Source organism: Homo sapiens, chromosome 3 (assembly GCF_000001405.40).
Source record: "Homo sapiens chromosome 3, GRCh38.p14 Primary Assembly".
Classification (NCBI taxonomy): Eukaryota; Metazoa; Chordata; class Mammalia; order Primates; family Hominidae; genus Homo; species Homo sapiens.
The window spans coordinates 128,125,727-128,152,476 of NC_000003.12; the positions used below are offsets into that span (position 1 = coordinate 128,125,727).

The 26,750-nt window shown below is 42.3% G+C and overlaps 1 protein-coding gene and 1 pseudogene across 2 annotated transcripts in view, besides 2 other annotated features; both read right to left on the bottom strand.

Moving 5' to 3' along the window:
- The window catches only part of RUVBL1 (RuvB like AAA ATPase 1), an 89,130-nt gene that overhangs the window by 60,942 nt on the left and 1,438 nt on the right, over window positions 1–26,750 (bottom strand). The gene's annotated exons all lie outside the window — the stretch shown is intronic.
- Window positions 7,740–8,034: a silencer, noted in NCBI's record as "tiled region #11416; HepG2 Repressive DNase matched - State 12:CtcfO, and K562 Repressive non-DNase unmatched - State 12:CtcfO". NCBI's record gives its function as "represses a minimal TATA promoter and a strong SV40 promoter by Sharpr-MPRA in HepG2 and K562 cells {active_cell/tissue: HepG2 | K562}" and the evidence as "EXISTENCE:reporter gene assay evidence [ECO:0000049][PMID:27701403]".
- Window positions 16,149–16,251, bottom strand: RNU6-823P (RNA, U6 small nuclear 823, pseudogene; annotated as a pseudogene).
- Window positions 20,875–21,444: an enhancer, noted in NCBI's record as "H3K4me1 hESC enhancer chr3:127865444-127866013 (GRCh37/hg19 assembly coordinates)". NCBI's record gives its function as "activates a minimal SCP1, AML or CMV promoter by ChIP-STARR-seq in primed H9 embryonic stem cells {active_cell/tissue: H9 hESC(primed)}" and the evidence as "EXISTENCE:reporter gene assay evidence [ECO:0000049][PMID:30033119]".

Here is a 26,750-nt window from a genome sequence, read left to right on the forward strand (position 1 = left end):
GTTGTTACTAGGGCATGTGGTTCATCAGCACTAGAGACAGCACCCCACAAAGTTGCTTAGCCCCTCATTGACTTGTTCCTGGTCATTACTCTTAGAAAAGAAGCAATTCCTTTCTCTATATGGAGAAGGAAACTTTTCCACCAACTAGTAGTCAAAGTGAGGCATTCTATGGGACTGACTTCTTTGTGTATTGTCCAATTAAGGAAAAAGACTTTTTTTACACTTATTATTTCAGCCCTAGTCTTTGTATCTTTTGGCACAGAAAGAAGGATTTCCTTCTAGTCCAAAAAGAGAAAGGGAGAATCAGGATTTTAGAGCACAGAGGAATATCCCCTGGATTACTTGGTCTAGTGGTTTTCAAACCACATTCCCAGCAGTTGTGGAATCCTTTTGTGGCCAGTACGGGTGGGGACAGGGAATGCTGAGAGTGTAGGATACCAGCTCCATGCCCCCACTTCCACCAGAGTTGTTCCTTTGTGTGTGTGTGTGTGTGTGTGTGTGTGTGTGTGCTAAATAACAGTTCAAACATCACTGATGGGCCAGGGGCGGTGGTACACGCCTGTAATCCCAGCACTCTGGGAGGCCGAGGCAGGTGGATCACCTGAGGTCAGGAGTTCGAAACCAGCCCGGCCAATATGGCAAAACCCCATCTCTACTAAAAATACAAAAATTACCTGGGCGTGATGGCAGGCGCCTGTAACCCCAGCTACTCAGGAGGCTGAGGCACGAGAATCGCTTGAACTCAGGAGGTGGAGGTTGCAGTGAGCCGAGATCGTGCCATTGCACTCCAACCTGGGCAACAGAGCAAGACTCATCTCAAAAAAAAAAAAAAAGGTCATTGATCTGGCCTAGCATTCTCATTTTACATGTGACGGAACTGAGGCCCCAGGAAGGGACAGGGTTTGTCCAAGGTCACAAATTGAGCAAATGCCTGACACAGATCCAGTGTGTAAAGATGCTGGACCTGGCTGCAAAGTCAGACAATTTCTTTCATTTCAACAGAAAACAATGTGGCAGGCCAGTATCCAAGCTACACAAGTCCAATAAACAGCAAGTGAGGCCTGCTGCAGTGGACAGGGTTATTCCTGACCAGCGTCCATCCCACTTCTGCGCACCACCACTCTCGTTTTCCTTCAGGAAATGACCGTTCTCCCACTTTGAGTCTGCGTAGTTTGGGCGAACTGACCCCACACCCCATGTTTGTTTCAGTGGTAAACACGTGGCCCTGGCCTGACCTATCAGTATCCCATCCTCTCAGACACTGTAATTGGCTCAGAAATGTGAGCAGCTAGTTCAATGACAGTCAGTCCTGGCAATTTACTGGACATATCAGGAGAGAAAATGTAGGTAATGGATCTGCAGGCTGGTCTTCTTTGTTACTTCATGGGGAGACTCTACCTGAGAATGAAGCCAAGACAGAGGAAAGGAAAGCTGACAGAAAGAGATTCCCGATGAAATCCTTTATATCCCTGCATCATCCTCGCCTTACTTGCAGTGTAACATGGCATTTACTTTGGGGCTTAAGATGTTTGAGTTAGATTTCTATCTGTGGGTACTGAAAATCCATATCAATGTAGTGACACATATGTAAGTAATTGTGTGGACTACTACATTCCAGAATTGTGCTGTGACAGCCCTAGACCTGCCAGCTCTCATTCCCTCACTCCCACGACCCTCTCATTCCCTTACTCCCACGACCTTTGCTCTTTCACCTCCAGGCCTTTGACCTCTCTTTCTCCAGCCCAAGCTTGATTATCTCAATCACTTGTTTCCTGACCCTTCTGCTCCCTCCTTACCTTGACTTCTATCACACCTGAACTTTGAACCCACAAGCCCAGGTCAAGCCTCCCTCTGCCTTCTTCACTGCCTCCTGAGGGCTACTGTGTGTGGCAGGATGCAACTACCCAGTGGTGCCCTGTAACCACTGCACAGTCATGGTCTCCAGCCTCAACTGGAGCAACCCAAGTAATGATTAAATGTTGTTATTTGGCCAGGTGCAGTGGCTCACGCCTGTAATCCCAACACTTTGGGAGGCCGAGGTGGGCAGATCACTTGAGGTCAGGAGTTCGAGACCAGCCTGGCCAACATGGTGAAACCCCATCTCTACTAAAAATACAAAAATTAGCCAGGCATGGCAGCACACACCTGTAGTCCCAGCTACTCGGGAGGCTGAGGCAGAAGAATTGCTTGAACCCAGAAGGCAGAGGTTGCAGTGAGCCGAGATTGCGCCACTGCACTCCAGCCTGGGCGACAGAGTGAGACCCTGTCTCAAAAATAATAAATACATACATACATACATACATACATACATACATACATACATACATAAATACATAAACGTTGTGTTAGTTTTTTGGGGGGCTTCAAGTGATCCTCCCATCTCAGCCTCCCGAGTAGCTGGGCATGCGCCACCACACCCAGCTAATTTTTTCTATTTTTTTGTAAAGACAGGGGTCTTGCTGTGTTGGCTAAGCTGGTCTTGAATTCCTGAACTCAAGCAATCCTCCTGCCTTGACCTCCCAAAATGCTGGGATTACAGGCATTAGCCATAGCACCCAGCAGTAAATGTTACATTAGTTAAAAGATTAGTTCAGCTGCAGTAACAGAGAGATCTAAAATAACAGTGGATCAAACAAGAGAGAAGTCACTTTATCTCACAGAAAGTCCAAGCAGGCATGCCAGGAGGTGGGCTGGCTTTACAATCAGTAAGGGCCTATGGTCCTTCTATGATGTGGCTCTGCCACTCCCCACACACATTGTCTATCGTGTGGTCCAAGATAGCTGCTCAAACTCCTCCCAAAAGGGCTGAATTTGCACCAACTAGAAGGAAAAAAGGGGAAGAAGAGGACATACTTCTTCCCTTTAACCTTGATATTGAAGTTGCACCATCATTTCTACTCATATCCCAGGGGCCAGCACTTAATCAAATAGCTAGAACTAGCTGCAAAGGAGGCTGAGAAATGTAGTCTTACACTGGATGGATATGTGCCCAGTTAAAAATTCAATTCCTATGTAAAGAGAGGAGAAGATAGATTGGGAAACAACTCTCAGGCGCTACCCTAAGCTTCTACTATGTGCCAAGCACTGCTGGATTCTCCTTGTATGCGACTCAAAGGCAGGTATGACCTTCCTTCTAGCCAAGGCATCTTTACTATCTGGGTCTCAGGTTAGCAACCTGGGCCCCATTCCATCTCTCAAAGGCCTTGCTCCACCCATTACCTTCCTTTTCTTGTATTTCCATCTATCCTCCCTGATCATTCCCACAGGATATGTGCAATCTTTCTCCCTCCTCCCCCTCCTAATGTCATCACTTGCATTTCTTTCCTAGCACAGTTCTCATCTTGCCAAGTGCCCCCCTTTCCCTTCCCAGGCTTCAGCCCAGTGCAATGTAGCTTTTACTCTTGCTGCTCCCATGAATCTGCTATCTCAAAAGTCCAGGGTGCCACAAAATGAGTCTTAATAAATGTTAAAAATTGAAATAATACATAATACTTTTCCAATCACAATGGAATAAAACTTGAAATCAATAACAGAAGGAAAAATCACAAATATGTGGAAATTAAACCATACATTCTTAAACAATTAACAGGTCAAGAAGAAATCATAAGGGAAATCAGAAAATACTTTGAAATGAATGACAACAAAAGAACAACGTACCGAAACTTATGGGATGCAGCAAAAGCAGTGTTAAGAGAGAAGTTTATAGCTATGAACAGCTATAATAAAAAAGAAGAAAGATCTCAAATTCATAACCTAACTGTACACCTACAGGGACCAGGAAAAACAACAACAACAACAACAAAAGAACAAGCTAAATCCAAAACTAGCAAAAGAAAAGAAACAATAAAGATTAGAGAATAGCAGTATTCCCAGTAGTAAAGAGGCAGAAGCAATATAAGCATCCATTGACAGATAATGGATTTTTAAAAGATGGTATATACATATAATAGAATATTATTAAGCCCTAAAAAAGAAGAAAATTCTGACATGTTACAATATAGATGAATATTGAGCCATCATGCTAGGTAAAATAAGCCAGTCACAAAAAGACAAGTACAGTATGGCTCCACTATGAGGAAGTAGTTAAATTCATAAAGACAAAAAGTACAATGGTGGTTGCCAGGGGCTGGGGAAAGGAAAAATAGAGAGCTAATTCAATTGGTGCAGGGTTTCCATCTGGGAAGATGAAAAAGTTCTGGAGATGGATGATAGTGATGGTTGCACAACAATGTGAATGTACCTAAAGCCGCCTAACTGTACACATAAAATGGTTAAAATGGTATCGTTTATGCTACGTATCTTTTACCAAAAATTTTTAAAAAGATTAAAATGGAGACAAAATAGAGAAACAGAAAAACAGAGAAAATAAAAAAACTAAAAGTTGGTTCTTTGAAAAGAATAACAAAATTGACAAATCTTTAGCTAGATTGACTAAGAAAACAAGAGAGAAGACTAATGATAAAATCAGAAATTACAGCAGGAACATTACTATTTACTATACAGAAATAAAAGGAATATAAGCGAATACTGTAAATAATTATAAACAAATTGGATAATCTGGATGAAATAGACAAATTTGTGGAAAAAAACTGTGAACAGACTACCAAAACTGACTCAAGAAAAAGTAGAAAATCTTAACTGTAATCAAGTAAGGAGACTGAGTCAGTAACCAAAAGTCTCCCTATAAAGAAAAGCCTAGAGCCGAATGGCTTAACTACTGGTTTCTACCAAACATTTAAAGAACTAACACCAGGCCAGGAGCAATGGCTCATGCCTGTAACCTCAGCACTTTGGGAGGCCGATGTGGGAGGATTGTTTGAGGTCAGGAGTTCAAGACCAGGTTGGGAAATAGCAAGACCCCATCTCTACAAAAAAAAAAAAAAAAAAATTTTATTTATTTATGTATTTATTTATTTATTTATTTATTTATTTATTTATTTTTGAGACGGAGTCTTACTCTGTCCCCCAGGCTGGAGTGCAGTGGCGCGATCTCGGCTCACTGCAAACTCCACCTCTCGAGTTCATGCCATTCTCCTGCCTCAGCCTCCCGAGTAGCTGGGACTACATGCGCCTGCCACCACGCCTGGCTATTTTTTTGTATTTTTAGTAGAGACCGGGTTTCACCGTGTTATCCAGGATGGTCTCGATCTCCTGACGTCGTGATCTGCCCACCTCGGCCTCCCAAAGTGCTGGGATTACAGGCGTGAGCCACCCTGCCCGGCCTTTATTTTTTTTCAATTTTATTTGCCAGGCATGATTGTGCCCACCTGTAGTCTTAGCTACTTGGGAGGCTGAGGCGGTAGGATCACTCAGGCCCAGGAGTTTGAGGCTGTAGTGAGCTTTGATCACACCACTGCACTTTAGCTTGGGTGAAAAAGTGAGACACCAGTCCTTCCCAAACTCTTCCAAAAAACTAAAGAGAACACTTTCTAATGCATTCTATGAGGCCAGTGCTGCCCTGATAACAAAGCCAGATAAAAACATTATAAAACAGGCTGGGCATGGTGGTTCATACCTGTAATCCCAGCACTTTGGGAGGCCAAGGAGGGCAGATCACCTGAGATCAGGAGTTCAAGACCCCATCTCTACTAAAAATACAAAAACTATCTGGGTGTGGTGGCATGTGCCTGTAATCCCAGTTACTTGGGAGGCTGAGGCAGAGAATCACTTGAACCTGGGAGGTGGTGGTTGCAGTGAGCCAAGATCACGTCACTGCACTCCAGCCTGGGTCACAGAGCGAGACTCCATCTCAAAAAACAAAACAAAACAAACAAACAAACACTGTAAAACAAACCAACAACAACAACAAAAAAAAACAGATCAAGATCCTGTATGAATATAGATGCAACAATTCTCAACAAAATTCTAGCAAACCCAATTTAGCAGTGTGTTAAAGGATTATCACCATGACCAGTGGGATTTATTCTAGGAATACAAAGGTGGTTTAACATACAAAAATCAGTGTAATATACCATATTAATAGAGTGAAGGGGAAAAGCCCCACATGATCAACTCAACTGATTCAGAAAAAAAATTTGACAAAATCCAATACACTTTCATGATCCAAAAAACAACTAGGAGTTGCCTATGAGAGGGAGGCGGAGCAAGATGGCCAAATGCACCCTCCAGAAATTGCCCCCACCTGCCGCCAGCAGGAAACCAAATTGAAAAACTATCCACACAAGAAGGCACCTTCATAAGAACCAAAAATCAGGTGAGCAGTCACAGTCCCTGGTTTTAACATCACATCAAAGAAAGAGGCACTAAAGAGAGTAGGAAAGACAGTCTTGACTCACCTGCACTACCCCTCTCTCATCCCCTGCCTGAGGCCTCATGGCACAGAGAGAGAATCTATGTACTTGGCAGAGAGATTATGGGACTTTGTACTGGAACTCAGTGCTGCCCTGTCACAGCAGAAAGCAACACAAGGCAGAATTCAACCAGCACCCACGGAGAGAGCATTTAGACAAGCCCTAGCCAGAGGGGAATCATCCATCCCAGTGGTCAGAAACTGAGTTCCGGCCAGCCTCATCACCGCAGGCTAAAGTGCTCTGGGGTTCTACAGAAACTTGGAAGGCAGTGTAGGCCACAAGGACTGCAATTCCTGGGCAAATCTTGGTGCTCTGCTAGGCTTGGAGCCAGTGAACGTGGGGTGCATGTGACCTAGCAAGACAATACCCAGGGCAATCAAGGGAGTGCTTGCATCACCACTCCCCCAAAGCCAGGCAGCGCAGCTTGCAGCTCCCGGAGAGACTCCTTCCTTCTGCTTGAGGAGAGCAGAGAGGAGAGTAAAGGGGACTTTGTCTTGCAACTTGGATACTAGCTTAGCCACAGTAGAATGGGGCAGCAGGTAGAGTCCTGAGGCCCTTATTTCAGGCTCTAGCTCCCAGACGACATTTCTAGACACACCCTGGGACAAAAGAGAATGCAGCGTCTTGAAGGAGGAAAACCCAGACTTGGCAGGATTCATCATCTGCTGAGTAGAGTGCATGGGCCTTGAATAAACATCAGTGGTAGCCAGACAGTATTTACCACGAGCCTTGGGTGAGACCCAGTGCCATGCTGGCTTCAGGTGAACCAGCACATTCCCAGTTGTGATGGCCACAGAAAGAAACCCTTTCTGTTTGAAGAAAGGAAAGAATAAAAGGGACTTTGTCTTGCAACTTGGACACCACCTCAGCCACAGTGGGGTAGAGCACCGAGTGGTCTTTTGGGTTTCCCAATTCCAGGCCTTAGCTCCTGGGTGACATTTTTGGACTTGCCTTGGGCCAGAGGGGAGCCTACTGCCCTGAAGGGAGAGACCCAGGCCCAGCAGTATTCAACACAACTTGAAGAGAGAGCCCTTGGATCTTGAGTGAGCATCAGCGGTAGCCAGGCAGTTCTTGCTATAGGCCTGGGTTGGTTGTGACCACAGGGAGAGTTCTTCTGCATGAGGAAAAGGGAGGGAAGAGTGGAAAGGACTTTGTATTGCGGTTTGGGCACCAGCTCGGCTACAGTAGACTAGAGCACCAAATGGATTCCTAAGGTTTCTGACTCCAGGCCCCAGCTCCTGGATGGCATTTCTGGACCTGCCGTGGGCTGGGGGATGAGCTTGTCACTCTGAGGGAAGGACATAAGCCTGGCTAGATTCACCAGATGCTGATTTTAGAGCTTTCAGGCCTTAAGTGAACATTGGCAGTAGCCAGGCAGTGGTCACCATGGCCCTTGGGTGAGACACAGTATTGGGCTGGGTTTGGGTCTGACCCAACAAAGTCCCAGTGGTGTTGCTACAGAGGTGCTTGTATCATCCCTCCCCCAGCTTCAGACAGCTTATCAGAGAGACTCTGTTTGTTCCTGGGAAAGTACGGGAAGAGAACAAGAGTCTCTGTCTGGTAATCCAGGGAATTCTCCCAGATCTTACCCAAGACCACCAAGGTAGCACCTCTATGCAGCTGAAAGTCACAGCTTTATTGGGCTTGGGGTGCCCCCTAGTGCAGATACAGCTGCAGTGACCAAAGACAGATTACAACACTCAATTCCCTTTGAATGCTTGGCAAGGCTTCCCAAGAAGGATGGGTACAAACAAGCTCAGACTGCAAAGACTGTAATAAATACCTAACTCTTCAATGCCCAGATATTGACAAATATCCACATCATCAAGGCTATCCGTGAAAACATGACCTCACCAAACAAATGAAATAAGGCACCAGTGATCAATCCTGAAGTGACAGATATGTGACCTTTTAGACAGACAATTCAAAATAGCTCTTTTGAGGAAGCGCAACGAAATTCAAGATAATGCAGAGAAGGAATTCAGAATCCTATCAGATAAATTTAACAAAGAGATTGAAATAATTAAAAATAATCAAGCAGAACTTCTGGAGCTGAAAAATTCAGTTGATATACAAAGCATGCATCAGTCCACAGCAGAACTGATCAAGCAGAAGCATTAGTGAGCTTGAAGACAAGCTATTTGGCCAGGCGTAGTGGCTTATGTCTGTAATCCCAGCACTTTGGGAGGCCGAGGTAGGCAGATCACTTGAGGTCAGGAGTTTGAGACCAGCCTGGCCAACAAAGTGAAACCCCTTCTCTACTAAAAATACAAATGTTACCTGGGCGCGGTGGTAGGCGCCTGTAATCCAGCTACTCAGGAGGCTGAGGCAGGAGAATCACCTGAACCTGGGAGGCAGAGGTTGCAGTAAGCAGAGATCATGCCACTGCACTCCAGCCTGGGCAACAAGAGTGAAACTGTCAAAAAAAAAAAAAAAAAAGACAGGCTATTTGAAAATACACAGAGGTGGCCAGGCATGGTGGCTCATGCCTGTAATCCCAGCACTTTGGGAGGCCAAGGGTGGCAGACCAAGTGAAGCCAGAAGTTCGAGACCAGCCTGGGCAACATGGTGAAACCCCATCTCTACAAAAAATAAAAATAAAAATAACAATAAATGAGCTGGGTGTGGTGGCACATGTCTGTAGTCCCAGCTACTTGGGAGGCTGAAGTGAGAGAATCAATTGAGCCTGGGAGGTCAAGGCAGCAGTGAGCTGTGATTGCACCACCGCACTCCAGCCTGGGTGAGAAACTTTGTCTAAAAAAAAAAAGAAGAGGAAGATGAAAAGGAAAATAAAATGCAAAGAGGGGAAAAATTTAAAAAAAAGAATGAAGCATGTCTACTAAATCTAGCAAATAGCCTCAAAAGGGTAAATCTAAGAGTTATTGGCCTTAAAAGAAAGTAGAAAGAAAGATCAGGGTAGACAGTTTATTCAAAGGGATAATAAACAGAACTTTCCAAACCTAGAGGAAAAAAAATTAATATTCAAGTATAAGAAGGTTATAGAACACCAGATATAACCCAAATAAGACTATATCTAGACATTTAATAATCAAACTTCCAAAGGTCAAGAATAAGGAAAGACTCCTAAAAGCAGCAAGAGAAAAGAAACAAATAACATACAAAGGAGCTCCAATATATCTGGCAGCAGACTTCTCAGTGGGAACCTTACAGGCCTGGAAAGAGTGGCATGACATATTGAAAGTGCTAAAGGAAGGCTGGGCATGGTGGCTCATGCCTGTAATCCCAGCACTTTGGGAGGCCGAGGCGGGTGGATCACCTGATGTCAGGAGTTCGAGACCAGCCTGGCAAATAGGGTGAAACCTCATATCTATTAAAAGAACAAAAATTAGCCAGGTGTGGCGGCATGCACCTGTAGTCCCAGCTACTTAGGAGGCTGAAGCAGGAGAATCGCTTGAACCCAGGAGGCGGAAGTTGTAGTAAGCCAAGATTGTGCCATTGCACTCCAGCCTGGGCTACAGAGCAAGACTCCATCTCAAAATAAGTAAATAAATAAATAAACTGCTGAAGAAAAAATATTTTATACTAGGATAGCATACCCAGCAAAAATATACTTCAAACATAAAAGAGAAATAAAGACTTTCTTAGACAAACAAGGGCTGAGGGATTTAATCAACACCAGACTTGTCCTACAAGAAATGCTAAAGTGAATTCTTCAGTCTGAAAGAAAAGGATGTTAATGAGCAATAAGAAATCACCTGAAGGTGCAAAACTCATTGGTAATAGTACGTACACAGACAACCACAGAGTAGTGTAGCACTGTAATTGTGGTGTGTAAACTATTCGTATCTTAAGAAGAAAGAATAAAAGATGAACTTATCAAAAATAATAACTACAATAACTTTTCAAGACATGACAGTATAATAAGATATATATCATAGAAACAACAAAAAGTTAAAAAGCAGGGGGATGAAGTTAAACTGTAGAATTTTTAATTAGTTTTCTCTTTGTTCTTTTTTTTGGCAATTAGTGTTAAGTTGTCATTAGTTGAAAATAAACTATGCAGATGTTATTTGCAAGCCTCATGGTAACCACAAATTAAAAAACCTACAACGCATGCACAAAAAATAGAAAGCAAGAAATTTAAAGATACCACCAGAGAAAATCACCATCACAAAAAGGAAAACAGGAAGGAAGGAAAAAAGGAAGGAAGAGAAGACACAAATAATCAGAAAAAAAAAACCAAAATGACCGTAGTGAGCCCTTACTTATCAGTAATAATAGTGAATGTAAATGGACTAAACTTTCCAATAAAAAGACACAGAGTAGCTGAATGGATTGAAAAAACAAGACCTGCCAGGTGTGGTGGCTCATGCCTGTAATCCCAGCACTTTAGGAAGCCAATGTGGGTGGTGAGCCCAGGAGTTTGAGACTAGCCTGCGCAACATGGTGAAACCCCATCTCTACAAAAAATACAAAAATTTGCCGGGCATGGTGGCATGCACCTGTAGTCCCAGTCACTTGGGAGGCTCAGGTGGGAGGAACACTTGACCCTGGAAGGTCAAGGCTGCAGTGAGCAATAATCATGCCACTGTACTCCAGCCTGGGTGACAGAGTGAGACCCTGTCAAAAAAAAAAAAAAAAACAATGATCTATTGCCTATAAGAAACATATTTCACCTATAAAGACACACACAGATGGAAAATAAAGGGATGGAAAAAATGTTCCATGCAAATGAAAACCAAAAAAGAGCAGGAGTAGCTATACTTACAGCAGAAAAAATAGATTTCAAGACAAAAACTATATAAGGAGACAAAGAAGATCATTATATAATGATAAAGGGACCAATTCAGCAAGAGGATATAACAATTGTAAATATATATGCATCCAACATTCGATCACCACATATAGAAAGCAAATAGTATTAGACCTAAAGATCATGAACAAAGAAACATGGGACTTAATCTGCTATAGACCAAATGGACTTAATAGATATTTACAGAACATTTCTTCCAACGGCTGCAGAATACACATTATTCTCCTCAGCACATGGATCATTCTTAAGGATAGACCACGTTAGGCCACAAAACAATAAGTGCCTACATGAAAAAAAATTGAAACACTTTAAATAAATAACTTACTGGTGCATCTTAAATAACTAGAAAAGCAAGAACAAACCAAATCTAAAATTAGTAAAAGAAAAGAAGATCAGAGCAGAATTAAATAAAATTGAAATAAAAATACAAAAAAGCAATGAAATGAAGAGTTGGTTATTTGAAAAGATAATATCAACAAATCTTTAGTCAGACTAAGAAAAAAACAGAGAAGACCCAAATGAATGAAATCACAGATGAAAAGGGAGACATTACAACTGATGCCACAGAAATTCAAAGGATCGTGAGCAACTACTATGAACAACTATATGTCAATAAATTGGAAAACCTAGAAGAATAGATAAGTTCTTGACATATACAACCTGCCAAGATTGAACCATGAAGGAATCCAAAACCTGAATAGACCAATAACAAGTAACAAGATCAAAGCTGTAATAAAAAGTCTCCCAGCAAAGAAAGACCTGAGACCCAATGGCTTTAGTGCTGAATTTTACCAAACATTTAAAGAAGAACTAATATCAATCCTCCTCAAACTATCCCAAAAAATAGAGGAGGGAATACTTCCAAACTTATTTTATGAGGTCAGTGTTACCCTGATACCCAAATCAGGCAAAGACGTATCAAAAGAAGAAAAGACAACTACAGGCCAATATCCCTGATGAACATTAACGCAAAAGTCCTCAACAAAATATTAGCAATGTGAATTCAACAACACATTAAAAAGATCATTCATCATAACCAAGTGGGATTTACCATAGGGATGCAAGGATGTTTCAACATATGCAAATCAACCAGTGTGGTACATCATATCAATAAAATGAAGGACAAAAGCCATATGGTCATTTCAAGTGGTGCTGAAAAAGCATTTGATAAAATTCAATATCCTACTATAGTAAAAGCCCTCAAAAAACTTGGCATAGAAGGAACCTACCTCAACACAATACAAGCCATATACAACAGACCCACAGCTAGTGTCATACTGAATGGGGGAAAACTGAAAGCCTTTCCCCTATAATCCAGAACAAGACAAGGATGCCCCTTTGCTACTATTATTCAACATAGTACTGGAAGTCCTAGCTAGAGCAATCAGACAACACAAAGAAATAAAAGGCATTCAAATCGGAAAGAAAGAGGTCAAATTATTCTTCCTTGCAGATATGATCTTATATTTACAAAAAACTAAAGATTACATGCACACACACACAAACACACCGACACACAAACTGTTAAAAGTGATAAACAAATTCAATAAAGTTGTAGGATATAAAGTCAACATGCAAAAATCAGTAGCATTTCTATATGCCAACTGTGAACAGTCTGAAAAAGAAATCAAGAAAATCCCATTTGCAATATCTACAAATACAATAAAATACTAAGAATAAACAACCAAAGAAGTCAGAGATCTCTACAGTGAAAACTATAAAACATGCAGGAAATTGAAGAGGCCACAAAAAATGAAAGATAGTCCATGTTTATGAATTGAAAAAATCAATATTGTTAAAATGTTCATACTACCCAAAGCAATCTACAGATTCAGTGCAATCCCTATAAAAATACCAATCACATTTTTCACAGAAATAGAAAAAAAAATCCTAAAATCTATATGCAACCATGAAAGACTCAGGATAACCAAAGCCATCCTGAGCAAAAAGAACAAAACTGTAGCAATCACATAACCTGACTTCAAATTATGCTACAGAGCTATAGTAACCAAAACAGCATGGTTCTGGCATTAAAAACAAAAACAAAAACATAGTCTAATGGAATAGAATAGAGAACCCAGAAACAAATCCATACATTTACAATGAACTCATTAGACAAAGGTGCCAAGAACATACACTGGTGAAAGGATAGCCTCTTCAATAAATGGTGGATAGCCATACGAGAGAAAATGAAACTAGACCCCTATCTCTCTCCATATACAAAAATCAAATCAAAATGGATTAAAGACTTAAATCTATGACCTCAAACTATGAAACCACTAAAATAAAACATTGGAGAAACTCTCCAGGACATCCTTCTGGGCAAAGATTTCTTGAGTAATACCCCATAAACACAGACAACCAAAACACAAATGGGCAAATGAGATTATATAAAGTTAAAAAGTCTCTGCACAACAAAGAAACAATCAACAAAGTGAAGAGACAACCCACAGAATGGGGGAAAATATTTGCAAACTATTTACCTGACAAGGGATTAATAACCAGAATATATAAGGAGCTCAAACAACTCAATAGGAAAAAATCTAATAATCCAATTTAGAAAAAACAGGCAGAAGATCTGAATAGGTGTTTCTCAAAAGAAGACATACAAATGGCAAGTAGGCATATGAAAAGGTGCTCACCATCACTGATCATCAGAGAGATGCAAATCAAAAGTACAATGGGTATCATCTCACTCCAGTTAAAATGGCTTTTATCCAAAAGACAGGCAATAAAAAATGCTGGTGACAATCTGGAGAAAAAGTAATCAGTATGTCTAAGAGACATCTGTACTCCCGTGTTTACTGCAGCACTATTCACAATAGCCACAATTTAGAAGCATCCTAAGTGTCCATTAACAGGTGAATGGATAAAGAAAATAAAAAAGAATGAGATCCTGTCACTTGCAACAACATGGATGTAACTGGAGGTGATGATGTTAAGTGTAATAAGCCAGGCACAGAAAGACAAATTTTGTATGTTCTCACTCATTTGTCGACACTAAAAATTAAAAGAATTTTTAATTGTACTCCCATGAGATAGGGAGTACAATAATGGTTACAAGAGGCTGGGAAGGGTAGTGGGGATGCGGAGTGGGAATGCTTAATGGGTACAAAACTATAGTTAGAATGAATAAAATCTAGTGTTTGATAGCACAGCAGCGTGACTATAGTCAACAATAACTTATTGTACATTTAAAAATAACTAAAAGAGTATAATTGGGTTGTTTGTAACACAAATAAATTATGTACGCTTGAAATGGTGAATACCTTATTTACCCTGATGTGATTATACATTGTATGCCTGTGTCAAAATATCTCATGTACTCCTTAAATGTATGTACCTACTATGTACCCATATAATTAAAAAATTTTTAAAAACTTCCTCAATATGATATGATACAAGTTTTTTTGTTTGTTTGTTTTTTTTTTTTTTGAGACGGAGTCTCCCTCTGTTACCCAGGCTAGAGGGCAGTGGCGTGATCTGGGCTCATCCTTGTGTGCTAATAGACCTGAGAACAAAGCTTACTCAGGGGTGGGGCTGCTGGCTTTTAGATTATAGGCACACTCCCTGCACCTGCTCCCACGTTTTCAGCAGCATTTGGACTTATCCACCTTTCTAATTATTGGCAAGCTAATGGGCATGCTTATTATTTCAGACCTGGGCTGACTTCTGGGGCCAAAAGGGATAGAGATGATTTTGCTGACACCTTATAGGTGGTACAAAGTCATAAAAGTAACTAACATTGATTTATATAGTGAGAACACTATTGCCTTTTTAGTTTTCTTTTAGTAAGTTTTAGTGTACTGGAGTGTGCCTTTAATTCCTTCCTCATACCGTCATGTGTCCCATAGCAACATTTTGGTCAATGACAGACCACATATAAGATAGTGGTCTCATAAGATTATCATGGAGCATATATAAAAACCTGATTAGAAACTTGACATTGGCATTTCAGATCAAGTAGGGGAAATAATTGATATTCAATATTCAGTAAAGATGTTGGGACATTTAGTTTTCCAGATTAAAAAAATGTATATTTACTAGTATATATACCATCTAGGTTTGTATAAGTATACTCTATGATGTTCATGCAATGACAAAATCACTTAAAGACACATTTCTCAAAAAGTATCCCTGGCATTAAGGGACACATGACTGTACTTGCTAGACTTCCTTTTTATTAAAGATTCTTTGGAAAGCCTACTGTTGTTTTTATTGTATTTATTTTTGTGGTTTCTGACTATTTCTGGTAAGTTATAATGGTTTTCTATGTATGGAGAAATACTTCATTAAGTAAAAAAAGCAGGTCAATTGAAAGAAAAATGGTAATTAAGTCATAGGTGTTCCCTAGATAGCACAGAAATTCTGAAGATGGCTCTTCATATCACCAAGGCTGGGGAAATCTGACATAAACCAAGGTTCGTCTGGGAACAGAGGGGTCTGTCCTGATGCTCCAGGTGGCCTGGTAAGCCTTACCTCACAAAATGTCCCAGGTTCAAATCCTGCTTTTTCTGAGCAAGTTACCTCTCATTCCCCTCTGCTGTAAAACAGTGATGACAACACTCACAGGATTATTAAGATAATTAAATGAGATCTTAATGAGGGACTCTAGCACTGGGAGGGGCATAACACATGGTGTCAACACCTTGGAGTATGAAGACATGGACTTTTTTTCTTTTCTTTTCTTTTCTTTTCTTTTGAGACAGAGTCTCGCTCTGTCACCCAGGCCGGAGTGTAAGTGGCACAATCTCGGCTCACGGCAACCTCTGCCTCCCCAGATCAAGCGATTCTCCTGCCTCAGACTCCTGAGTAGCTGGGATTACAGATGCCCACTACAACACCCAGCTAATTTTTCATTTTTAGTAGAGACGGGGTTTCACCATATTGGTCAGGCTGGTCTCGAACTCCTGACCTCAGGTGATCCACCCGCCTCGGCCTCCCAAAGTGCTGGGATTATAGGCACGAGCCACCGTGCTCAGCTTTCTTTTCTTAATAGTTGCCTTCTCTCTGTGTGTCCTGGCCTTAGCAGTAGATTTTGTCATGCTTTTCCCCCTTCATGATTATGTTTTTAATTAATTTTTGTTTTGTGTGTCATCCTTGCCCAGGGGCCATGCTGTCTCTGTCTCATTCTAATTTTAGTATATGTGCTGCTGAAGAGAGCACTTGCCATATTTTTTAAATGGAAACAGTACCCCTAGGCACTCACAGGAACTGCTTTGGAGCCTAGAGACGGGAAATTGGGCTGGGGACAGAGGTCAGGTTAGCAAGGGCAAAGCCCATGCCTCCCACCATAAAGTCCTCTGCTGGGAGCAGTGTTTCCGTTTCAGCAGGCACGTCCCAACGCAATGGGTAAACCTGGCCACATCCGCTGACTCCCAGAGTCTGCCTGGGAACGTGGCCGAGCCTGGAGCTCCCATGGGTCCTGTCTGGAGCACATGGTAGTGGGGTCAGAGGTCAATCAGGGTAGGTTGGATGAATGCAGCTGGTCTGACAAGAGGGCAGGCATTGAGGTCTCTTCTGGTGAAGATCTTAACTGTCAAATTGTGGTCCTGGGTCTAGGATGTGGAATAAGCCTGGTAAAGACCTTGCAGAGCTCTGATGAGGTAGGGTGGAATTAGGAGCCATCCATTTAATCAATAAATACGAACATAGATTTGACACTCCAGTTAAGTGTTTATATTGGTTTCCTATTGCTGCCATAACATATTTAGTGGCTTAAAACAACACAAATCAATAATCTTACAGTTTTGGAGGCCAGAAGTCCAAAATGGGTCTCACTGGGCTAAAATGAACGTGTTGTTAGGGCCACGTTCCTTTCCAGGGATTCTGGGGAAGAATCCATTTTCTCGCCTTCTCCAGGCTGCCCACATGCCTGGACTCAGGTCCCCTTTCCACCTTCAAAGCCAAAAATGGCCAGTTGAGTCTTTCTTATGATGTCATCTTTCTGCTTCTGACCCTCCTGCCTCTCTCCTTTTTTTGTTTTTGAGATGGAGTCTCACTCTGTCGCCCAGGCTGGAATGTAGAGGGGTGATCTTGGTTCACTGCAACTTCTGCCTGCCAGGTTTAAGCAATTCTGTCACCTCAGCCTCCAGAGTAGCTGGCATTACAGGCGCACGCCACCACACTCAGCTAATTTTTGTATTTTTATTAGAGACGGGGTTTTACCATGTTGGCCAGGCTGGTCTCGAACTCCTGACCTCAGATGATCCACCCACCTCAGCCTCCCAAAGTTCTGGGGTGACAGGCCTGAGCCACAGTGCCCAGACCCTCCTGCCACTCTCTTATAAGGTCCCTTCATGATTACACCAGGCCCACCCTGATACTCCAGGATAATCTCCTCATCTCAAGACCCTTATCTATTTTTTTTTTTTTTTTTGAGACAGAGTCTCGCTCTGTTGCCCAGGCTGGAGTTCAGTGGCACAATCTTGGCTCACCACAACCTCCGCCTCCTGGGTTCAAGCAATTCTCCTGCCTTAGCCTCTCGAGTAGCTGGGACTACAGGCATGGGCCACTATGCCCAGCTAATTTTTGTATTTTTAGTAGAGACGAGGTTTCATTATGTTGGTCAGGCTGGTCTCAAACTCCTGACCTTGTGATTCGCCCTTCTCAGCCTCCCAAAGTGCTGGGATTACAGGCGTGAGCCACAGTGCCCCGCCAAGACCCTCATCTTAATCACATCTGTGGAGTCCCTTTGGCCATGGAAGGTAACATATTCACTGGCTCCGGGATGTGAACATCTTTGTGGGGGCCACTATTCTGCCATGGCTGGTCTCCTCTCCTGAGGTCCCATCATAGCCCAGGCCTGCATGCCCCAGATTTCAGTCCAGTGGCAAAGAGTACACTTTCGTATTGCTTGCCCTGGGAAATATGCCAGGGTTGGCTGTGACTAGGCCAACTTGGGTTGTTAGGTTCACTAACAATCCAGTCACTGCGGCCAGCAGGATGGACCATGCTGCTTGGTTAGTACTGAGTCTCAGGCTCATCCCTGGAACTGAGACTGAGGTCAGCCCCCTCGAGACCTGGAAGAAAGGAGGGAAGAACTTTCCAAGGATAATTGAGGAGCTCTTACAAAAGAAGAGGGAGTAGGTGCTGACCACTACCGACCACAATGATCTTGTGAAACACTGTGATGCCCATTTTGCAGGTGGAAGAGATGGTGAAGTCACACTGCCAGCATGAGGTACAGCCATGATTTGAACCCGCGTGGAGGAGTTCTTGCCACTATATCAGGCTTCCTTGACCCGTGGCTAAATGTGGCATTGGCAGATCTGATTAATGCTGAATGTTATGTAGCTCAGCTGACCTGGGTGGCAGCCTCCTTAGAGGTTGGCATGGGACCTACTGAGGAAGGCACATGGTTAACACAATTACTGGCGAGGTAGATACCCTCAGAGAAAAGGGAAATTTCCATTTCACTCCTGAAAGACTCTTTAAAGCCAAAACTCAAATCAAAGAGCAAAGTATAATAACTTCCTCTGGGCAAATTTATAATTAATCCTGGATTAATTGGCCTTAATGAAGTTGAATTAATTACTAGCTGTTTGTAAAGAACTTTGAACTACCTTAGTACAAAATGGCATTAAAGAAACAGAAAGGAACCAGCATCGCATTAACATGAAGAACAAATCCCAAATAATCGCAGTTCTGCAGGCTGTTTCCCGTCACTAATTTTCCCAGGGACTGTGTCCAGCCTGTGGAACTGTAGGGGGCCCACGGAGTCTGTTGCAGAGGAGGATGTCTTCGTGGGCTAGAGGTTTGGTGGTGAGTGCATTCAAGAAGCAGTTATGGGGCTTTGCGTGTGCCAGGCCCAGGGCTATCAAAGATATGCAAGGTGAGGCCCTTGCTCTCCAGGCATCCTCAGCTACCAGGAAGGGGAAGAGCTCTGGAGCACCTGCCTGGTCTAAAGCAAACTCAGCTTAGTGGGAGGGATGGTAGGACAGAGACAGTAGACTATAGGAGGCGTGAAGCAACCTGCATTTTGCTGGGAACAGCTCTCCATTTCCTGTAGGGGATCCCCTGGTCCCTCCTTCCCCCCATTCTTGGGGTGGGCTCATGACCCACACCTGGCTAGGCAGAGCACTGGATTTCTCTCTTGGTGCAGGGGCACATGACTTCATCAGGGCCAAGGAGACTTGGTTTGGGGACTTTGTGGAGCTGCTGACAGCCACTTTGTCATTGTGAGGGGGGAGCCTGTCTGGGAATGGTGACAACTCAGAGGAAGGAGGAACGGAGAGAAAGAGACAAAGTCAGTGTCTTCATGTTGTCATCTGAGCCCCTGGATGAAGCAAGCTCTTCCCCCAGACTTTTTAGCTAGGTTTATTTATTTAAATTCACAAACTCTGATATAGCACTTATTAATATACCAGGAATTGCTCTAAGTGCTATAGACATACCAATTCATATAATCATCATTACCCTGTGAGTTAGGAAGTATTATGCCCCATTTGACAAATGAAGAAACTGAGGCACAAAGCAGTTTTGTAATGTGCCCAAGGCTCCACAATTTCCAGCTGGTGGGAGCAGGACTGGACACAAGCAGTGTCTGTGCTTTTCACTACACCATGGGCCAGCATGTTCCCTTTTTTGCTTAAGTCAGTTTCACTGTGAGTTTCTGTCATTTGTCCTCAAAAAGCATGACTGTGCAGAACATGACATGGAGGTAGCCAATCCAGCCCCCAGAGGTCTGAGGAAGCTTCCAGAGGGCGTGCCAGCCCAAGGAAGTAGCCCGCGGGCGAGTGTTGGGGTGGGGTGGATGGGCACGGTGTGTGTGTGCAGGATTTCACAGGTTCAGGGTCACCAGGCACAGGGAGAGAAACGGAGAGGAGCATGGCAGGGTGAGCTGGGGTGGGGTGAGGAGTCAGTCTATCCACAGGTGACAGTGATAAAGCATTTGTAACTCTTCCCTTGGGGACTACAAACTAAGGAATCTTAGTCCTACTGGTGCCTTTAGGACACTTTTTCAAATTTTAAAAAATTTACTTATTGAATAGGTAATACTTTCACATGATTTAAAATTCAAAAAATGCCAATGTATTTCAAGTAAAATGTCTTTCTGTCTTCCCTCCAGCCAACCTGTTCCCCTCCCTGGAGATAACATTTATTGAGCACCACCTATATGCACTGTGCTAAACCCAGGGGGAAGCAGATAATGAGGAATGAACATAATAAGGAAATAAACCATACACGTATGTTCAAAGGTGATATGCGCAAAGGAGAAACTGGAGCAGGATAAGGGGGATCAGGAGTAGGGAGGGGGCTGTACTTTTAGAGAGGCTGTCCAGGGCAGGGCTAATGCAGGACGTGACAGTTGAACTTGGAGGAGGTGAGGGGTGAGCCATTTAGAGGTTTGGGAGAAAAATGCTCTGGTCCATGCTTGGGGGCTTTGAGTAACAGCAAGGGGGCCAGTGTGGCTGGAGCCAGAAGAAAACAGGAGATGAGTTCAGGAAGGTAGCATGGTGTGTGTATGTGTGTGTATGTGTGTCTCTGTGCATGTGCGTGCGTCTGTGTGTGTGTGTGCATGTGTGCGTGTGTCTCTGTGCTTATGCATGGCCCCATTTGCCTGCTGCTGTGAGCAAGTGTGTGTGCGTGCATCTGTGTGTGTGTCTCTGTGCGTGTGCACGGGCGTGTGCATGTGCGTCTGTGTATCTCTATGTGTGTGTATGGCCCCATTTGCCTGCCGCTGTGAGCACGTGTGTGTGCGTGCATCTGTGTGTGTGTGTCTCTGTGCGTGTGCACGGGCATGTGCATGTGCGTCTGTGTATCTCTATGTGTGTGTATGGCCCCATTTGCCTGCCGCTGTGTGCACGTCTGTGTGTGCGTGCATGTATGCGTGTGTGTCTCATGCGTGTGCACATGTTTGCGTGTGCATCTGTGTGCATGCACATGTGTCTCTGTGCGTGTGCATGGCCCCATCTGCCTGCCGCTGTGTGCACGTGTGTGTACGTACATCTGTGTGTCTCTGTGCGTGTGCACGTGTGTCCATGTGTCTGTGTGTGTGTGCATGCATCTGTGTGTGTGCGCACTTGTGTGCGTTTGTGTCTCTGTGAGTGTGCATGGCCCCATTTGCCTGCCACTGTGCTGCTGTAAGGACTGTGGCTCCTCGTCCAAGTGAGATGAGGAGATAAAGGCTCACTCCAGCTTCTGTAAGCAGAACAGGCTATAGGAGAACAAGAGCAGATGCAGGGAGTCCTAGTAAAAGAACAGCTTCAGTAAATTAAAACCATGATGAGATACCACAACACACCTATTGGAAAGGCCAACATTATAATTATTATTGAGACAAGGTTTTGCTCTGTTGCCCGGGCTGGGGTGCAGTGGCACAATCGGCTCACTGCAGCCTTGACCTCCTGGGGTCAAGGGATCCGCGCACCTCAGCCTCTTGAGTAGCTGAGACCACAGGCATGTGCCACCATACCTGGCTAATTTTTGTGTTTTTTGTAGAGGTGGAGCCCTACTGTGTTTCCCAGGCTGGTCTCCAACTCCTGGGCTCAAATGATCTTCCCACCTTGGCCTCCCAAAATGCTGGGATTACAGGCATGAGCCACCACATCCTGCAAGAAAAGCTAAAATTAAAAACAAAACAAAACAGCCTAGGTAACATAATGAGACTCCATCTTTACAAAAAATTTTAAAAATTGGCTAGGCTACCCAGGAGGCTGGGGCGGGAGGATGGTTTGAGCCCAGGAGTTTGAAACTGCAGTGAGCTATGATTATGCCACTGCACTCCAGCCTGGATGACAGAGTGAGACCCCATCTCTAAAACAAAAACAAAAACAAGACACTCAACAATACCAAATACAACTGATGATGCTGAGCAAGCGAAACTCTTATACATTGCTGCGGGAATGTAAAATGATACAGCCACTCTGGAAAACAGTTCAGCAGTTTCTTATAAAGTTAAAACCCACTTGCCATATGACCCAACAATCTCACTTTTGGTATTTACCTGAGTGAAACTTATGTTGGCATAAAACCTATACATAAGTGTTTAGAGCAGCTTTATAATAGCCAAAACCTGGAAACAACCCAAATGCCCTTCAACAGGTGACTGGGCAACCAAATGATGATCCATCCATATGATGGAATACTACACAGTGATAAAAAGGACCACACACTGCAGTTATACACAACAACATGGATAAATCTCAAATGCATTATGCTAAGTGAAAGAAGCTGGACCCCAACGGTTACCTACTGTTTGCTTCCACTTATATGATGTTCTGGAAAAGGCAAAGCCTGTAGAGACAGAGAACATAGATAACTATCTGCCAGAGGTTAAAGGTGTAGGAGGGGTTGATCATAAAGGGCTTTTTTTTTTTTGAGGGTTGAGTCTGTTTTGTATCTTGATTGTGATGGTGATTACCTGATATCATGCATTGGCCAAAGCTCATAGAGCCGTACACCAACAAGGGTGAATTTTACTGTTGCAGTAATCCAGGTGAAGAGATGATGGCTTAGATCAAGTGCTGATGGTAGAGATGTTCAGAGGGGATTGGATTCTAAGGGTAAAACCAACAGAATTTTTTAATGAATTGGATGTGGTGTATGAAAGAAAGAGAGGAGTCAAGAACTGAGCCAGTTTGCTGCTTAAAAAACTGGGAGGATGCAGTTCTCATTCACTGTGATGGGAGTGGAGTGGAGGGTAAAACCAGAAATTCTGACCTTGACATGTAAGTTTGAGATGCCTATTACACATTCAGGTTGTGTATGTGAGCCTGCAGTTAGGAGGGGGAGGCTCCTGGCTGCAGGCTCACACACAGAACCTGAATTTGGGAGTCAATGGCTTGTAACGCCAAGAGACATAGACATCACCAGGGAGTAAACATATAGAGAGAAAGTTGGAGGGCTGAGCCCTGGGACCTTCTTGTGTCTGCTGTTATCCATCTCTTATGTATCCTTGTAGGGCTATTCTGTACTTGTACAAGCACATATATATAGAGAGTGCATTTTTCATAAATGCAAACATGCTACACACACTAGTGTGCACCCTATTTTTTCAGTTACCAATATTATCTTAGAGATTGTTCCCAAGTAGTGTACAAACAGCTTCTTTGTTCTTTTCAAAGTCTGCATCGTATTCCACAGTATAGACAGACCATGATCTCTCTTTTTCTATTTACAGTTTTTCATTATGGAAAACTTTGAACATATCAAAAATGTAGACAGAATAATGAACCCCCAAGACCCATTACCCAACAATGATCAACTCAGGGCCAGTCTAGACTGCCACACACTCTTCTTTTAAATTATGATTTTTGGTAGCTTTGTGTCTGATATAATTTCTTTTTTCTTTCTTCTTTTCCTTTCCTTTCTTTCTTTTCTTTTTGGTAGCTTTGTATCTGATATAATTTCTCTTCTTTCCTCTTTCTTTCTTTCTTTTTTTTTTTTTTTGACAGAGCAAGACTCTGTTGCCCAGGCTGGAGTGCAGTGGTGCGATCATGGCTCACTGCAACCTCTGCATCCCGGGTTCAAGCAATTCTCGTGCCTCAGCCTCCCGAGCAGTTGGGATTACAGGCATGCACCACCATGCCTGGCTAATTTTTGTACTTTTAGTAGAGACGGGGTTTTGCCATGTTGGCCAGGCTGGTCCTGAACTTCTGGCCTGAAGTGATCTGCCCGCCTTCGCCTCTCAAAGTGCTGGGGTTACAGGTGTAAGCCACTATGCCTGGCCTTTGTCTTGATATAATTTCAAACTTACCATAATTATTCTTTTTAAGGACATTTACTTTGTTTATAATATTTTGCTACTACATACAATATAGAAAAGAAATACTTGGTACTAGAACATGCCTTTTCATGAAGACTACTTTCCTTGGGGCCCAAAAGAACAAGAGGCTGGGGCCTGAAACGCTTCCAGAGCAACTGTCTGGAGGAAGGAGTGAGTCTCAATGGTTTCTCTCCATGGGAATCTGTTTCTGAGACCCTTGGGCCAGCCACACAACCAGAGCCCACACAAGGAGGGAGACTTCGGTGATGTTGTAACACCAATCTCAGCATTGGTGAGATTCTGTTTTCTGGGGAAGTCTGGCTTTGGCCTCTGGCCAGCTTTCCAGAGCTTCTGCCTTTGATGCTTCAGAAGGCCACACCACCAGGCTAAAACCATACTTTGAAAGACATTTTCAGGATATGCTTAGCATGCAGCTTCTTCTCTTCAGCCCCACCTCGCCACGTGCCACATGGCTTAGGTTGCTGCTGTCTCTGAGCCTGCTGTTTTCTCTGTGCAGCACGTTCTTTCATCAATTTCCCTCGGTTCTGTGCAGCCTGGCCCTTCTCTTGCATCTTTGTCAGCTCAAATGCCTCTCCCTTAATAAGCATCCTCCTCCCTTGCACCAGTAACTCTCAGCCATGCTGCCTTATTTCTCCCAAAGCACTTCATCATTATTTGCCTTATTCATCCACAGTTGTATCCCTCCAAAATATCATGTCTGCCACACAGCAGGTGTTCAATCAATATTTGTTAGAATATTTGTTAGAAGATTTGTATTAGTCAGGATTCTCTAGAGGGACAGAACTAATGGAATATACATGGAATATATATATATCTCCTAAGCCCAGGCTACAGACTCTCAGGGTGAGAATTTCTGAGTCAGAGATAATGTTGTCCTCTTCCATCTTGGAATATGTATACATATATGTATATATATTCCATATATGTGTATATATATTCCATTATATATATATATATGTATGTTCCATTGTATGGAATATACATCCATATGTATATATGTATGTTCCATATGTATATATGTATATTCCATATATATATTCCACAGAATATATATATTTGACAGAACTAATAGAATATATATTCTATGTATATATTCTATACATATATTCTATACATATTCTATACATATATTCTATATATATTCTATATATTATATATTCTATATATATTCTATATATTATATATTCTATATATATTCTATATTATATATTCTCTATATATTCTATATATTATATATTCTATATATATTCTATATATTATATATTCTATATATTATATATTCTATATATTATATATTCTATATATATTCTATATATTATATATTATATATATATATTCTATATATATATTCTATATATATAATATAATATTCTATATTATATATATAATATATTCTATATATTATATATATTATATATTCTATATATTATATATTATATATTCTATATATATTATATATATTATATTATATATTATATATATAATATATATTCTATATTCTATATATTCTATATATATTATATGTTCTCTATATATTCTCTATATATCTATATATTCTATATATATTCTGTATATATTCTATATATATTCTATATATATTCTATATATTCTATATATATTCTATATATACTCTATATACATTCTATATATACTCTATATATTCTATATATACACTGTATATATTCTATATATATATACTCTATATATCTATATATAAAATCTATATATATTCTATATATAGATATATAAACTATATCAAGTGATCTGCCTGCCTCAGCCTCCCAAAGTGCTGGGATTACAGGCATGAACCACCGTGCCCAGCCAAACCTTTTTTCTTTTCATTACCATTTCAGGATTCTGTTTAAAACAGAGGTAAGAAATGAGGTTTATTTGAAGCCAGGCCCTGTACAAAGTCTTTGTTAGTTGAAATATTTCTCAGAGGTACATAAAGCCTCTAAAGCTCTTATTACCTATTTACTAACCCTCCCTTTTAAATACGTTTACTGCTTTTACTACTAGATTTTTTTTAATGGGAGGCGTATTTTTACAGTTTCCTATTTGCAAGGTGGGAAAACGGAAACAAAGATTCTGTTCTCTTCTTGTAAGGACCCTAATCCCATCACAAGGGCCCGCTCTCATGATCTCATCTAACCTCCCAAACGTCCCATCTCCAAATACTATCACACTGGGGGTCAGGGTGTCCACATATGAATTTGAGAGGGACACAATTCAGTCTATGACATGGACTCTGTTCCTAGTGGAGAGTGGTGGAACGAAGGAGGCAGTTACTGCAAGCATGAATACATCCGCACATGGTCTGGCTCATCACAGAGGGCAAAGGTAAGATCCTGTGAACTTTGTGCTCCACCGCCACAGTGTTACAAAAACACTCTCTTCTCCAGAAAAATGGAAGGAGGAGGCAATGTTGGGCTAGCATTCCTGCCTGGTATCACTGGCTGAGACTGAGCAGTGGCTTCCCTCTTTGCACAGGAAAAGGGCTCTCCAGGTCTCCCAGGTCCCCACCACTCCCTGTCATCTTAGACTCTTTTAACTTCTCTTCTTTGATTTACCCACCACCTGGCCAGAGCAGACACTTAGGTTTGTTACCTCTGGTTGGTGACTATGGCTGACAACCTTTTTTGTGGTTCTAGACACTTCAGAATCTAGTGAGAGTTGTCGACCCTCTGTCTAGCAAGAGCACATCACAACACATTGTGCGTTCAATTTAGAGGTTTGTGGCCTCTCCTAAGCCCAGGCTACAGACTCTCAGGGTGAGAATTTCTGAGTCAGAGATAATGTTGTCCTCTTCCATCTTCAAACCATCTTTTCCCATGGTTGGCTCCTTCTCAACACTGGAGTTTCAACTCAAACAGCAACTCCTAGATGTCTTCCCTGACCCACAGTTAGGTAGCTGTCCATCCTCCCTCTCCTGCTC